The sequence below is a fragment of the Homo sapiens genome, chromosome X (genome assembly GCF_000001405.40).
Source record: "Homo sapiens chromosome X, GRCh38.p14 Primary Assembly".
Classification (NCBI taxonomy): Eukaryota; Metazoa; Chordata; class Mammalia; order Primates; family Hominidae; genus Homo; species Homo sapiens.
In genome coordinates this window covers 113,041,870-113,059,367 of record NC_000023.11, presented here as the reverse complement: position 1 = coordinate 113,059,367, position 17,498 = coordinate 113,041,870, and the positions used below count along the sequence as shown (strand labels likewise).

Genomic DNA, 17,498 nt, shown 5'->3' with positions numbered 1-17,498 from the left:
GAGTCAGGGTAATTTCATGGAGAAAAATAGTCTTTTTGACAAATGGTACTGGGACAAGTATATAGGTGCATAGAAAAAATAAACCTTGACTCTTACTGCACATCATACACGAAGATTAACTCAAAATGGATCATATATCTAAATATAAGAGCTAAAACTATTAAACTGTAGAGGAAAACACATGAGAATATTTTTGTGATATTGGGTTAGGTAAAATTATTTAAATCAGACATCAATAATACAAAGTATAAAAGGGAAAAATTATGAAATGGACTCTATCAAGATTAATAAAGTTTGCTGTCTAGAACTATGAAAACAAAAAGATAAGCCACAGCTTGGGAGTAAATGTTTGCAAAACATACATCTGACAAAGGGCTCTTGTATCAAGAATATACGAAGACAAAGAAGATATACAAACAACCAATAAGCACGTAAGAAAAAATGCTCAGCATTGTTAGTCATCAGAGAAATGCAAATCAAAACCACAATGCAATACCACTGTGTGCAATACCGCTATGTAACCAAGAGGATAGCTCAAATCAAACTGATGAAAAACGAATGTTAGTGAGGATGTGGAACATTGCTGATGAGAATGGAAAATGGCATACTCATTTGGAACACAGTCTGGCGGTTCCTGAAACGGGTAATCATAGAGTCACCAAATGACCCAGCAATTCCACTCCTATTTACTCAAGAGAAAGGGAAACATAAACCCACACAAATATGCATATGTGAATGTTCTTAGAAGCTTTATTTGTAATTTTCCCAAACTGAAAATAACCCAGATGTTTGCCCACATAGGATTACTAGTCAGTAATAACAAAGAGTAACCTATTGATACATGCAACAACATCAATACATCTAAAAAATATGGTAAGTCTGTAGTTCTCAACCAGGAATGATTTTGCTCCCCAGGGAACACTTGGTGATATCTGGAGACATTTTTAGTCGCCACAACTTGGAGGGGATACTACTGGTATTCAGTAGGTAGAAGTCAGAAACGCTGCTCAAAATTCTATAAAGCACAGGACATCTCCTCACAATAAAGAATTATCCAGCCCAAATGTCAATAGTGTTAAGGTTGGGAAACCTGGTGCTAAATGGAAAAAAAAGTCAAACATAAAACATTTCATATAGTATGATTCCATTTATAAAAATTTCTAGAAAGGGTAAAGCTATAGTGACACATAACAGATAAACCTGGGTCCAGAAATGGGAAAAGGGGATCAAGCTAAAGGAACATGAGAAACCTCTGTGGGATTATGGAACCATTTTGTTTATTGATTGTGGTGGTGTTTACAAAATTGTATAATTTACCAAAATTTATCAAGCTGTGCACTTGAAATTGATTTTTAAAATATTCCACAACTAATCATACTTTAAATATAAAGAATTTACAGTGGGGAAAAAGCATTGAAAACACATAAAACATTACATGCAGTGTTTGTATTACATACAAATGTTTTCAATACATACAACATTAAATACAGTTCATGTTTTCAATGAAAAAAAGCATTGAAAGTGATGGCAAAGAATGGTGGCACACGCCTGTAATCCCAGCACTTTGGGAGGCCAAGGCCGGCAAATCACTTGAAGTCAGGAGTTTGAGAATAGCCTGGGCAACATGGCGAAATCCCGTCTCTACTAAAAATACAAAAAAATTAGCTGGGGGTGGCAGTGCACACCTGTAATCCCAACTACTCGGGAGGCTGAGGCAGGAGAATTGCTTGAACCTGAGAGGCAGAGGTTGCAGTGAGCCAAGATGGCGTCACTGCACTTCAGCGTGGAGGACAGTGCGAGACTCCATCCCAAAAAAACTAAACAAACAAACAAAAAGATGAGCTTTGCCAACCTCACCTATAAGACTGAAGAGATCCAATTTTAAACTACAATGATATTTCCAGGTCACTGAGCTATTATTCAGTACATCACACCAGTGTACCCTGGTACATTAAAAATAAAGAGTTAAAACAATGTCCTAATGAGTTCTACAAAGAGTCGTGAATAATAAAGTTCTTCTGATCCTTTCCTGGGCGATGAGCAAGACGCCATCTCAAAAAAAAAAAAAAAAAAAAAAAAAGAATATTTCCATTAACAGCAAATCTAGTTCAAGATTATTCCATCAAGTGAAAATTTGTAAGAGATTATTTACCATGGCAGACAGAATATTACACGTAGTACTTTATGAATTTTCATAACCTTTACTACAGAGATTCCTTGATAAATAAATAAAAAGCTTTCCTGCAGAACCTGAGATAAACTTATGCCTTTGAAATTCTGGGAACACTGGAGCTCTCTTCATAACAGAAAGCTAACATTTGATCCATGGCCACAGAAGGAGCAACTATTACATTACACTTCCTTGACAAATGTTGCTTTGACTGTGAGAACTAAAGAAGGCAGAATTACAGATGATGAAATTCAATCAACAAGAGGTGACAGTTACTTTTCCTTTCTGAAGTTAAATCAGAACTTTTCTTTCCTTTTGAGTCTTGTTGAGACAGTTACATAGGAAATAACCCCTTATCTCTGCTACTCTGAAAAAAGTTATTTCTCCCATCTGTCTCATTAAACTTTTGGGAAAAAAATCATCTTAGAAGTAATAAAAAGCATTACATTCAGTTCCGTGTAGATTTCTTATGAAGGCAGAGAAATAAAAAGTCGGGTTGCCCCCAAAGTCCCTGGAGGCTCCAGAGTTCTGTGTGAATCCTGGCAACCCTTCTAGACCTATAAAGACAAGGAAAATCAAGAAGATACAAGAAGAAATCTCTTCTCCAGTGTTTCAAACTCCAAAAAGCATGCATTTTTAATGCTGACTTAGAACATTTCCTAGTTTTACCATATTCATCCAAGTGAAAGTCTTTCAGTCATAACAACCTAACCTTGCATATCCCTCAGATGCCTTGTATGGCCTTCTAGGTCTCATTTCATATTGGTGCAACTCTAAAAATTTTTAATTTGAGACTTTCAATTAGTGATATTGGGATGATACCACAGCTAGGAATGCTATTAGATAAGCCAAGATATGTAATGATATGTAGCCAATTGTTGGAAGTTAAATTACAGTCATATTTTAGCTAGACTAAACTAGTAAAATAATTAGTTGTTTATGTCAAAAAGGAAAATATTGACTATTATGTCTTGACTTTATGTTGTTTCTAGAAATCCACACAAATTAATCATGACCTGTCCAGTAAGATTTTCCCTAGGAGCAGGGACCAGGAAAAATCAGACAGGGTTGTGTTGTCCCATCTTCCTCACTCCCCCTACATTCATCTCTGCATTTTTAATGTCTTCTTGGTATGTAAGAGCTTGATTGGAGAAAGAATAAAGAGAGCTTATAGCTAGGGTGTGGAATGGGGCTTGCCTTAGAATACTAGGAAAAAAGATAGACTAGGGGAAGGAGATTCAATATTATTCAAAAATAAAATATTTTCAAAATAGAATTGCTTAGTAACTAGGTTATATATGAATGTATTTTATGCACCAACTTGCCTCGTTAGCCTTAAAAGCATCTTGCTATAGAGAAAGTATAGGGATTGCCTACATCATCATATATAATGTAGTTACTGAGCAATAAATTTTCAAAAGTATTTCACTCTTTTGCAATTATACTTTTTTGATACCTTGAAGAGCTCCAACCACCCTCACATTGCAACAGCCAGGGTGAATGCAGACCCAGAATGTTCTCCTTTCATGTGATTTGAATGCATTGTATATTTCAGACATGGAAAAAAAGAAAAGGACTTTGGAGAATCAAGCAATATTTTAGTTATCTAGATGAGCTAAGTTTTTTTGTCTATCATCCATGTCCTCTACTCTCACACCCTACCCCTTTGAATAATCCTCTGAAACTCCAAGAAATGCTATGTTGCTCTATTGCCTTGTCAATACCGCAAACTCCAGCACAAGCAACTCCCTTTCCCACTCTCTCTCTCTCTCTTTCTGTCTGTCTCATTTTCCTCTTATAATTCTCATCATCCCCTAAATCTTTTTCCCTCAGGCCCTTGCTCACAACCAGGCAGCATCCACAGAACACACAGAGCTTATTTTTGTTTTCCTTGTGTTTATATCTCTTGGCTTTATTGAGATATGATTGATGAGTACTTATGAGATGATAGGCCAAGGAACCTAATGCCTTTTAACACTATTCAAACACCAGCTTCTCTTTCTACTCTAGCAAATCCTTTCTTGTCAAAATAATTCCAAAACAGTTTTCTTTAGAGAGTCACTCCAATTAATCCCACCTATTCTCATACCTGCCAAGAAAAACTCAGCAACCTCAAGATATTTCTCTGAGCACAAGCACATATTTAATGGCACGAAAAAGAAATTTTATATCCAGTTGTAGCTGCAGCACCATAAGAAATCCCAGTGTTGCCTCAATCTACAGGTGAAGCAAGCACATTCTTTTTCTTTAATTTCCTTCTTTTTATAATTTTTAATTTTTGTGGGTACAGAGTAGGTGTATGTATTTGTGGGGTAGATGAGATTCTTTGATACAGGCATGCAATGCATAATAATCACATCATGGAGAATGGGTATCCATCCCCTCAGGCATTTATCCTTTATGTTACAAACAAACCAATTATACTCTTTTATTTATTTATTTATTTATTTATTTATTTATTTATTTAATTTATTTATTTTGAGATGGAGTCTCACTCTGTCGCCAGGCTGGAGTGCAGTGGCGTGATCTCAGCTCACTGCAGCCTAAGCCTCCCGGGTTCAAGCAATTCTCCTGCCTCAGCCTCTCAAGTAGCTGGGACTACATGCCACCATGCCCAGCTAATTTTTGTATTTTTAGTAGAGATGGGGTTTCACCATGTTGTCTAGGATGGTCTCAATCTCTTGACCTCATGATCTGCCTGCCTCGGCCTCCCAAATTTTAGTTATTTTTAAATGTACAATTAAATTATTATTAACAATAGTCACCCTGCTGTGCTATCAAATAGTAGGCTTTATTCAAATAGTAGGCTTTATTCAGTCATTCTATTTTTTGTACCCCTTAACCATCCCCATCTCTCCCTCATCCCAATCCCCATCACCCTCCCTAGCCTCTGGTAACCATCCTTCAACTCTCTTTCTCCATGGATTCAATTGTTCTGATTTTTAGATGCCACAAATAAGTGAGAACATGTGAAGTTTGTCTTTCTGTGCCTGGCTTACTTCGCTTAACATAATGACCTCCAGTTCCATTCATGTTGTTGCAAATGACTGAACCACATTCTTTTTTATGGCTGAATGGTACTCCATTGTGTATAAGTATCACATTTTCTTCATCAATTCATCTGTCGATGGACACAAATCTTGGCTATTGTGAACAGTGCTGCAACAAACACAGAAGTGCAGATATCTCTTTGATCAATGTTGATTTCCTTTCTTTTGGGTATATATGCAGCAGTGGAATTGCTGGATCACATGTTAACTCTATTTTTAATGTTTTGAAGAACCTCCAAACTGTTCTCCACAGTGATTGTATTAATTTACATTCCCACTAGCAGTGTACAAAGGTCCTCTTTTCTCTACATTCTTGCCAGCATTAGTTATTACCTGTATTTTGGATATCCAGTCTCAGGTAGTTCTTTACAGCAGTGTGAGGACTGACTAATACAGTCTATGTGTCTGTTTTTATGCAAGTACCATGCTGTTTTCATTGCTATAGCTCTGTAGCATAATTTGAAGTCAAGTAAGGTGATTCTTCCAGTTTTTTTTTTTTTTTCTTAGGATAGCTTTGGTTATTTTGGGTCTTTTGTGGTTCCATATAAATTTCAGGATTGATTTTCTTTTTCTGTGAAGAATGTCATTGGTATTTTGATAGAGGTTGCACTGATCTATAGATTGCTTTGGGTAGTATAGACATTTTAACAATATTGATTCTTCCAATCCATGAACATGGAATATCTTTCCATTTTTGGTGTTCTCTTCAATTGCTTTCTTCACTGTTTTCATTATAGGGATGTTTTACTTCTTTGGTTAAGTTAATTCCTAGGTATTTAATTGTATTTGTGGCTCTTGTAAATAGGACTACTTTTCAATTTCTTTTTCCGTTTGTTCATTTCGGCATATAGAAATGCTACTGATTTTTGTATATTGATTTTGTATTCTGTAACTTTACTGGATTTGTTCATCAGTTCAAAATGTTTTTTGGTGGAGTCTTTAGGTTTTTCCAAATATGAGATCTTATCATCTGCAAACAAAGATAATTTGACTTCTTCCTTTTCAGTGTGGATGCCCTTTATTTCTTTCTCTTGTCTGACTGCTCTAGCCAGGACTGTCATCACTATGTTGAATAACAGTGGTGAAAGTGGGCATCCTTGTCATGTTCCAAAGCTTAGAGTAAGGACTTTCAGTTTTTCCTCATTCAGTGTGATACTAGCTGTGAATCTGCCATACATATATGGCTTTTATTATGTTGAGGTATGTTCCCCAGTTTTTTGAGGGTTTTTATATTGGAGGGATGTTGAATATTATCAGATGCTTTTTCAGCATCAATTCAAATGATCATATGGTTTTTGTCTTTCATTCTGTTGACATGATGTATCACATTAATTGATTTGCATATGTTGGACAATCCTTGTATACCAGGGATAAAGCTCACTTGGCCATGATGAATAATCCTTTCAATGTATTGTTGAATTTAGTTTTCTAGTATTTGGTTGACAATTTTTGTGTCAATATTCATTAGAGATATTGCCCTGTAGGGTTTTTTTAACTTTATTTTTAAAATGTTTTTATGTGTCTTTATCTGGTTTTTGTCAGGGTAATTAATACTGGCCTTGTAGAATGAATTTGAAAGTATTCACTACTCTAATTTTTGAAATAGTTTGAGTAGGATTGGTATTAGTCATTCTTTAAATGTTATGTAGAATTCTGCAGTAAAGCCATTGTGTCTCGGGTTTTGCTTTATTGGGAGACTTTTTATTATGCCTTCAATCTCATTACTTGTTATTTGTCTGTTCAGGTTTTGGATTTCTTTATGGTTCAATCTTGGTAGGCTGTATGTCTCTAGGCATTTGTCCATTTCTTCTAGATTTTCTCATTTATTGGCATAGAGTTTCTCATAATAGCCACTAATGGTCCTTTGAACTTTTGCAGTATCAGCTGTAATGTCTCCTTGTCCACCCCTGATTTTAATTATTTAGATCCTCTTTCTTTTAAAGAACTTTTCTACCTCTTGAAGATTCATCCTTAGATTGTTTATTTGAAGTTGTTCTTTTCCACCTACAGCTGTACGTTTCCTTCTTAGTACTGCTTTGGCTGTATCTCATAGGTTTTGGTAGGTTGTGTTTCCACTATCATTCATTTCAAGATACTTTTCCATTTCTTTTTTCATTTCTTCATTGACCCAATGGTTATTCAAGAGCGTTTAAATTCCATGTATTTGTATAGAATTCTGAATTCTTTCTTTGTGTTCTCTTGAATTTCTTTGAGTTTCCTCAAAACAGCTATTTTGAATTCTCTGTTCAAAAGGTCACATATTTCTGTTTCTTTCAGGATTGTTCCTTTGTGCTTTATTTAGTTCATTTGGTGAGGGCATGTTTTCCTAAATGGTTTTCATGCTTGTCGATGTTTGTCAGTGTCTGAGCATTGTAGAGTTATTTATGTAGTCTTTGCATTCTGGGCTTGTTTGTACCCGTCCTTCTTGGAAAGGTTTTCCAGGTATTTGAAGGGACTTGGGTGTTGTAATCTAAGCTTTATCTGCATTAGGGGACAATCTAATCCTAGTAATGCTGTGGTTCTCGCAGATTCATAGAGGTAACAAACACCTTGATGTTCTTGGATAAGATCTGGAATAATTATCTGGATTACCAGTCAGAAACTCTTGTTCTCTTTCCTTACTTTCTCCATAAGAAACAGAGTTTCTCTCTCTCTTTGCTGAGCCACCTGGAGCTGTGGGTCAGGGAAAAGAAGCACCGCTTTGGCCACCACTACTGGGACTATGCTGGGTCATATCTGCAACTATCACAGTACTGGGCCTCTCTCCCAAAGCCTGCTGTAACCACTACTGGCTATTGCCTATGTTTTCTCAAGGCCCTAGGACACTACAATCAGCAAGTGACAAAGCCATCCTTGCTTGTATCCTTCTCTTCAGGGCAGCAAGTTATTCCAGGTCCATGCCATGCTCAGAGATGACATCCAGGAGCCAGGCACTGGAGTGAGAAACCTTAGAAATCTACCTGGTTCTGTATTCTACTGTGGCTAAGCTGACACTTAAACAATGATGCAAAGTCTCTCCCACTCTTTCCTTCCCTTTCCACAGGCAACTGAAATGTTCCCCACCGACACCACCATCACAGGCCCTTGAGGAATACTGCCAGACTACCACCAATTTTCACTTAAGGTTCAAGAGCTCTTCAGCTTATGGTGAATGCTGACAGGCCTGGGGCTCACCCTTCAGGGAAGTGGGCTCCCCTTTGGCCCAGGGCAGGTCCAGAAATGTTGTCCAAGTGCCAAGTCCTAGAAACAGGGACCCCAAGAGTCTGCTTGTTGCTCCACCCCACTGTCACTGAGCTGGTACCTAAGATCTAAGACAAAATCCCCTCTACTTTTCCCTCTGCTTTTCTCAAGCAGGATTCTCTCTGCATAGTCACCACAGCTGATAATGTGCTAGGTCTAACCAGAAGCCAGTATGTTTCAGAATCTCCCCCAAGGTTCATGGCATACTACCTGAGTATCACTGCTGGTTATTCAGGGCCCAAGGGCTCTTTAATCAGCAGCTAATGAATACTGCCAGGAATGAATCCTTTCCTTCAGGGCAGTGGGTTCCCTTCTGGTCTAGAAATGTCATTCTGGAGCTAGGCCCTGGAAAGGAGGCCTCATGACTCTACCCAGTGCCTTATCCTATTGGGGCTGAGCTTTAAGACACAGTCCTCTTTACTCTTCCCTCTCCTCTCCTCAAGCAGAAGGAAGGAGTCACTTTCATTGCTATGAGCCATGCTGCTGGGGGTTGTGGGAGGGGGTGGTGCAAGCACTCCCTTAGCTGCCCCAGCTGGTGTCTCACTGGGTCATGTGCCTTCCAAGTCCACTGACTCTGAGCCTAGCCTAGCACTAGGACTTGCCTTAGGAATTGCAGTCTTTGTGACCTAAATTGCCCTTCAGGTTTATTTAGGACCCCAAATCACTTCATCCTGTGGTGGCAAGGCTTGCAGAAACTAAAGTTCTGACCACTGGGATGAGTGATTCCCCTCTGGCTAGGGCTCATCTAAATGTTTCCTCCGTCAGTGGGTGTTGGATGAATTCAGTCCAGTTTTGCTTTCTGCTGTGACAGGGCAACAGTGCATTCAACGAACAGTCCCACAATTGCTGCATTCTCCCTCCTCTAGGTGCACTGATTCTGTCTCTGCATGACAGGGTTACCACTAGAGGATGGGGGAGAGGTTGCATCAGTGATTCAGATATTGTGATTGCTCACCTGATTTTTGGTTCTTATGAAGATGCTTTATGGTGTAGATAGTTGTCAAATTTGATGTCCCTGTGCGGAGAGGGAGGGGATGATCAGTGGAGGCTTCTATTCAACCATCTTATTCCACCTCTCCATTCTCTTCCTTCATAACCTTAAAGTCTACTCTTCAAATGAAAATGAGGTTGTTGCATAAAAGCACCCAGATAATATATTTAGTGAGAAATTGAGACTATTACTTGTAAGGAAAAAAATGGCACTCAATGAAAGGACTATTCAGCTCTACTCGGAAGGAATGTTGTAAAGGCAAAACTCAAAAGCAAGAAGAAAAAGCCCATTTGGAAACATTCTTTTGATAATGAGTTCATTCGCTGTGAATTTTCATCTGTGCTGATACCAGATTTGAGATATTCAAAGATGTGATACAGTAAGTGATTTAGCATCCATAACATTAATACCACTTGGTGGGGGAGGGCTATGTCTTTCTAAATAAATGATTATTGTAGTCCATTCTTACAATTGTCTGTGCCACATATCCTGGCACCTAATCAAATGCATTCCATATTGATATTTAACTGTGTGGTTTGTTCATTTTTGTGTGCTTATATGTTTATTTTATGTGGATAAAATTTTGTCTCTATGCAGTCCATAAATTCCTGGTGGGGTGTTCAATAAATAGTTATTGAGCTAACCTGAATTGAATTGGGGGGAACAATAAAATGGATAATCCCCAACTAATCCCTATTTGGCATTTTGATGCATGTTTGTATTTCCATTTCAATAGGGATATGTCTGAGATATTAGGACTTTGCATAATTTCAGATGAAGTCATACTGGGAAGAGGTAGTGTTGAAGAAAATGAAAAGCAACCCAGTTTACACTCATGCTGAGGACTAAAGCAAGTCACCAAGCCAGACCTATGTGCCTTTGACAATTACAGGCTGAATGATTCACATCTTCCCCAGGGAATGGACAAATTAATCATAAGGCTGTTTAAAAAGACCTCTCCTGACCACTGAGTATGGATGTCCACGGACCAGAGGACTAGGTGGTTGGAGGGTGACACATACCCTGAAAGTTGTCTCCTTTCCAGCTCCCCCAGAGTGGCATGCTGAATTAGAAAAAGGAAGAGTTAAAATAAATTATGATAATGTCAACAAATGAATTGAAGAAAATAAAAGGCACTTCTTTCAGCATGACACTCCCCTACAAGGGCATCCATTTGCTTGTAGGATCAAGTCAAAACTTATCAACCTGGCATTCCAGTTCTTCCATCAACTGTCTCCACCTTACCTATTCATCCTAAACACTCACTAATCCCCAACATGATCACTGGTTCCAACTCTGTCAAACCGGCCTTCTTTCGCTCACATACCACATTCCTGCCTCCATTTCACTCATTCCTCCTCCCTATATCTAAAATGCTTTCTTTCTTCTGTCTCCACCATTGAAAACCCAAAATTTCCTTCTTTTGAAGATCCAGGTTCTTCTCTATAAAGACTGTCCAATCTAACCCCGTCACTCAGTAACCATTCCCTTACTTGAAATATCTGCAGCTCAAATACATACATGTGTACCAAATGACTTCCATACATTACTTCATATCTTCGAGTACATGACTTGCTTCCTTAGTTAGATTCTAAGCAAAAGAGAAAGAATCCTTTCATCATCACCAATCACTTAACACAGTGCTCAAGATCCAATAATTTATTTAAAAACTTTGTTGAAATATCTGTAAATATATGTATGTTAATATTAATAATAAATATATAGAAACCTCAGTTGGTTTTAAGATAGAGCTAATTTGACATGAAAATGCAGGTGCATTAAACTTTCTATTCTCTAAATGGTTATAGAGTCATATTTAAATGCTCAAATTGTTTTACTTGCTTCATGTTTCTACATTGAACTCGTTTTCACTTTACTTTGTTTTATTTAATAGCTGTTCTTCAAGTTCTGTTTTTAAAGCACTGTTTTTTAGTTTGATGCTGAGGATATGAACAATAAACAGGCCTTAAATGTTCTGGTTGAGGTATTGCAATTTAACCTTTACACATATCTGTAGCTTAGTAACCTAGAATGATGAGAGGAGAAGATCTATCCCCTCAGGAGGCCTCAAGGAAAAGATCCTCTTCTTTGGAATTGAGTTTCATAGTAAGATTCACTTTCTCTCCCACTTGGATATAAGCTCTCTGTGGAGCCTGGAGGATGACTTCATGACTCAAAACAGATGGAGTTTTTTTTTTCTTTATGTATTATTCTTTGCTTTGACAGGTAAAGAATGGCTGATTTAATTCCTTTTTTAACCAAGTATTTTCTAAACCACGTTATTTCTTTTTATATCTTGGGGGTATTTGGAATTCCAATAAAAAAGAATGATTATTTTGTGTTCCTAAAAACTAAATGTATTGTCTCTTTTAAACAAAATACTGAAGGAAGAATTTAAAATCTGCTAGGGCAGTGAGTTAGCATGCCAGATAGAAACGACATTGTAAGGGCAGGAAAACTTTCTAGAAACTCCTCAGTTTAATTCTAATCTATGTCCCTGTGCCAAAAATTCTACTATCTAATGCATTGTTCTCTCTGGACATCCTCTTATAAAATTTAAATATCTCTGCGAACAATAACAAGTGAGTTATGCATACTGTAGTTTAGCTAGGTTTTTTAAATTTTCTTCTTAACTGATAACCAGCTGTGCACTGTGGGACTGGAAATGTAACAGTATGTTTTCCTAGTTAGCTCCTCTAGATATCACAGAAACAGCTTCAATTAGCTGTTAGCCTAATCTTCCATATCTTTCAATACACTCATGTTACTTGTGATCATTCAAACCAATCCTGTATTTTTAAAGACCATGTGACTGTGCCTTTTCTCATGCTATTTCCTCCTTTGTAGATTCACTTTTACACCATCACACCTTTTACCAGGGCTCACATTATGTGCCAAATCCATCAAGAAATCTTATCAGCATGTTTTGCCTGGTATCATGTTCATTCAACTTTCCATCTCTCAGTTAAAATTCTACCTTCTCTGCGAAGCATTCTTTGACTTTTCCAGGCAGCTGTAGAACTGTTTTCCCTTAGGCTTCCACACTGTACCTTCAATTCCACACCAGCATTTATGACATTATATTGAAATTATCTCATTATTTACCTGTCCTTTATGTCTGTGAGTTCCAACTTCTAAAGCTATAAAATACAATTGACATACTAAAGAATGGACCAGAGTCTCTTAATAGTAGAAATGATCAAGCAGAAGAAAGAATTAGTGAGTTTGAAGACAGGTTATTTGATAATACACAGTCAGAGGAGACAAAATGAAAAAGAATTAAAACAATGAAGCATGCCTATAAGATCTAGAAAATAGCCTCAAAAGGGCAAATCTAAAAGCTATTGGCCTTAAGGAGGAGATAGAAAAATAGAAAGTTTATTTAAAGGGATAATAACAAAGAACCTCCCAAACCTAGAGAAAGATATCAATATTCAAATATACAAATGTTGTAGAACACCAAGAAGAATTAACCCAAATCAGATTACTTCAAGACATTTGATAATGAAACTTCCAAAGGTCAAGGATAAAGAAAGGATTCTAAAAACAGCAAGAGAGAAAGAAAGAAATAACATACAAAGGCGCTCCTATATGTATGGCAGCAAACTTCTCAGTGGAAAGCTTATGGGTCAGAAGAGCGTGGCATATTTAAAGTACTGAAAAAAACCACTTTTATCCTAGAATAGTTTATCCAGCAATAATATACTTCAAACATGAAGGAGAAATAAAGACTTTCCCAGACAAACAAAAGTTAAGGGATTTCATCAGCACCATACCTGTCCTACAAGAAATACTAAAAGGAGTTCTTCAATCAGAAAGAAAAGTATATTAATGAACAATAAGAAATCAGAAGATACAAAACATGGTAATAGTAAGTACACAGGAAAACACAGAGTATTACAACACTGTAATTGTAGTGTAGAAACTACCCTTGTCTTGAGTAGAAAGACTAAAAGATAAACCTCTCCAAAATATTAACTACAACAACTTTTCAAGACATAGAAAACACAATAAGGTCTAAATAGAAACAACAAGAATTTTAAAATTGGGGGAACAAAGTTGGAGTTCTTATTAGTTTCCTGTTTGATTATTTGTTAATTTGTTTGTTTATACAATCTTTATTAAATTGTCATCGGTCTAAAACAATGGGTTATGAGATATTATTTGCAAGCCTCATGGTAACCTCAAATCAAGAACCTACAACAGATACACACACACACAAAATAAAAAATAATAAATTAAAACATACCACAAGAGAAAATCACCTTCACTAAAAGGAAAACAGGAAAGAAAGAATGAAGAGAAAACTGCAAAACAACAAGAAAACAAATGACAAAATGGCAAGAGTATGTCCTTACTTATCAATAATGACACTGAACATAAATGTTCTAAACTCTATAAAGACATAGAGTTTTCCCAGCTACTCAGGAGGCTGAGGTGGGAAGATTGCTTGAGCCCAGGAGGTTAGGCTGCAGTAAGCTGTATTTGTGCCACTGCACTCTAGCATGGGTGGCAGAGCAAGACGCTGTCTCAGAAAAGAAAGAACATAGAGGGGCTGAATGGATTTAAAAGAAAAACAGGACCCAATGATCTGTTAATGACAAAGAGCACACTTAACCTGTAGAGACACAAATAGATTATAAATAAAGAATGGAAAAAGCTTTTTCATGCCAATGGAAACCAAAAAGAAGCAGGAGTAACTATACTTACATCAGACAAAATAGATTTTAAGACAAAAACTATAGAAAGAGGCAAAGAAAGCCATTATATAATGACAAAGAAGTCAAATCAGCAAAAGGATATAACAATTGTAAATATAAATGTACCCAACATTGGAACACCGAGATAGATAAAGTGAATGTTATTAGAGCTAAAGAAAGAAACAGGCTCCACTACAATAACAGCTGGAGACTTCAACACCCTACTTTCAACATTGTACAGATCATTCACGCAGAAAATTGACAAAGAAACATTGGATTTAATCTGCACTATAGACCAAAGAGACCTAATAGATATTTACAGAACATTTCATTCAATGGCTGCCAAATGCACATTTTTTTCCTCAGCACATGGATCATTCTCAAGGATAAAACCATATGTTAGGCCACAAAACAAGTCTTAAAACATTCCCCCCAAAAAGAAATTATATGAAGTATCTTTTCTGACCATAATAGAATAAACTGGAAATCAATAACAAGAGGAACTTTGGAAACTACAGAAACACATGAAAATTAAACAATATGCTCCTGAATTACCAGTGAGTCAATGAAAGTAAGAAGAAATTTTAGAAATATCTTAAAACAAGTGATAATGGAAACACAACATAACAAAACTTATGAGATGCAGTGAAAGCAGTACTAATACAAAAGTTTATGGCAATAAGCAACTACATCAAAAAAGTAAAAAACTTCAAATAGACAATCTAATGATACATCTTAAATAACTAGAAAAGTAAGAGCAGGCCAAATCTAAAATTAGTATAAGAAAGGGAATAATAAAGATCAGAGAAGAAATAAATGAAATTGAAATAAAAAAATACAAAAGATAAATGAAACAAAAAGTTGTTTTTTTTTGAAAAGGTAAACAAAATTGACAAAACTTTAGCCAGACTAAGAAAAAAACAAACTCAGGAGGCTGAGGCAGGAGTTTAACTTGGACCTGGGAGGTCGAGGCCTCAGTGAGCCATTATTTTGCCACTGCACTCCAGTCTAGGTAAAGAAGTGAAAACCTGTCTCAAAAAAAAAAAAAAAAAAAAAAAACTCTCCCAGCAAAGAAAATTCCAGGACCTGGGAAATACTTCCAAACTCATTCTATGAGGCCTGTATTACTCTGATACGAAAATGAAACAAAGACACATCAAAAGAAGAAAATTAAAGGCCAATATCCCTGGTGAACATTGATGCAAAAGTCCTCAACAAAATGCTAGCAAACCAAATTCAGCAAAACATTAAAAAGGTAATTCACCATGACCAAGTGTAATTTGATCCAGGGATGCAAGGCTGGTTCAATATACACAGATCAATCAATGTGATACATCATATCAACAGAAGGAAGGACAACCATACGATCATTTTGACTGATGCTAAAAGAGCATATGATAAAATTCAACATGCCTTTACAGTAAAAACTCTCAAAAAACTGGGAATAAAAGGAGCATAGCTCAACACAAAAAAGGTATATATGACAGACCCACAGCAATCAGACAAGAGAAAGAAAGAAAGGGCATACAAAAGGGAAGGAAGATGTCCAATTATCCTTGTTTGCATATGATATGATCTTATATTTGGAAAAACATAAAGACTCCACCAAAAAACTATTAGAACTGATTAAAAAATTCAGTAAAGTTGCAGGATACAAAATCAACATAGAAAATCATTAGTATTTATATGTCAACAGCAAACAATCTGAGAAAGAAATCAAGAAAGTAACCCCATTTACAACAGTTACAAATGAAATTAAATACCTAGGAATTAATCAAAGAAGTGAAAGATCTATACAATGAAAACTATAAAACACTGATATAAGAAACTGAAGAGAACACCAAGAAAAAAGGAAAGAAATTCTATGTTTGTGGATTGGAAAAATCAATATTGTTAAATGTTCATACTACCCACAGCAATCTACAGATTCAATGCAATCTCCATCAGAATACCAATGACATTCTTCACAGAAATAAAAAATGACAATCATAAAATTTATATGGAACCACAAAAGACCCAGAATAGCCAAAACTGTCCTGAACAAAAATAACAAAACTGGAGAAATCACATTACCTGACTTCAAATTATACTACAGAGCTATGGTAACCAAAACAGCATGGGACTGGCATAAAAAGAGACACATAGACCAATGGAATAGAATAGAGAACCGAAAAACTAATCCACATATGTACAGTAAACTCGTTTTCAACAAAGGTGCCAAGAACGTGTACTGGAAAAAGGACGGTCTTTTCAATAAATGGGGCTAAGAAAACTGGATATCCATATGCAAAACAATAAAACTACACCCCTATCTCTCACCATATACAAAAATTAAATCAAAATGGATTAAAGACTTAAATCTAAGTCCTCAAACTATGAAACTACTGCAAGAAGGCATTGGGGAAACTCACCAGGACTTTGGACTAGGCAAAGATTTCTTGAGTAATAAATACCCCACAAGCACAGGTAACCAAAGCAAAAATAGACAAATGGATCATGCTAAGTTAAAAGGCTTCTGCTCAGCAAAGGAAACAATCCACAAAGTCAAGAGACAACCCGTAGAATGGGAGAAAATATTTGCAAACTATACTTCTGGCAAAGGATTAATAACCAAAATATGTAAGGAGCTCTAACAACTCTACAGGGAAAAAATGTAATTACCCAATTACAAAATGGACAAAAATGTGAATAGACATTTCTCAAAAGATGTACAAATGGCAACCAGGCATATGAAAACGTGTTCAACATCATTGATCATCAGAGAAATGTAAATAAAATCTACAATAAAATATAATTTTATCCCAGGTAAAATTACTTTTATCCAAAAGAGAGGCAAAAACTAATGCTGCCGAGGCTATAGAAAAAAAAAAAAGCATAACCCTTGTACACTGTTGGTGGGAATGTAAATTAGTACAACCACTATGGAGAACAGTTTGGAGGTAACTCAAGATAACTTACAGTAGAACTTCCACATGATCCAGCAATGCCACTGCTGGGTATATACTTAAAGGAAATCAGTACATCAAAGAGATATCTGTACTCCCATGATTATTGCAGCACTATTCACTGTAGCTAAGATTTGAAAACAACCTATGCATCCATCAACACATGAATGGGCAAAGAAAATGTGGTACATATACAGAATGGAGTACTATTCAGCCATAAAGATAAGATCCTGTCGTTTGCAACAACATGGATGACCTAGGGGTCATTATGTTAAGTGAAATAAGCCCAGCCCAGAAAGACAAAATTCACTTGTTCTCACTTATTTGTGGGAGCTAAAAATTAAAACAACTGAGCTCATGGAGATACAGAGTGGAATAATGGTTACCGGAGGCTGCAAAGTG

At 36.4% G+C, this 17,498-nt stretch overlaps 1 long non-coding RNA gene across 1 annotated transcript in view; it reads right to left on the bottom strand.

Annotated features, from left to right (window-relative positions):
• Nucleotides 1-16,641, bottom strand: part of LOC101928437 (uncharacterized) — a 477,888-nt gene extending 461,247 nt beyond the window's left edge. Inside the window, exon 1 of the long non-coding RNA NR_110399.2 lies at nt 16,563-16,641. This is a non-coding gene — a long non-coding RNA (uncharacterized LOC101928437). The remainder of the gene's footprint in view (nt 1-16,562) is intronic.
• Nucleotides 16,642-17,498: the final 857 nt, after the last annotated feature.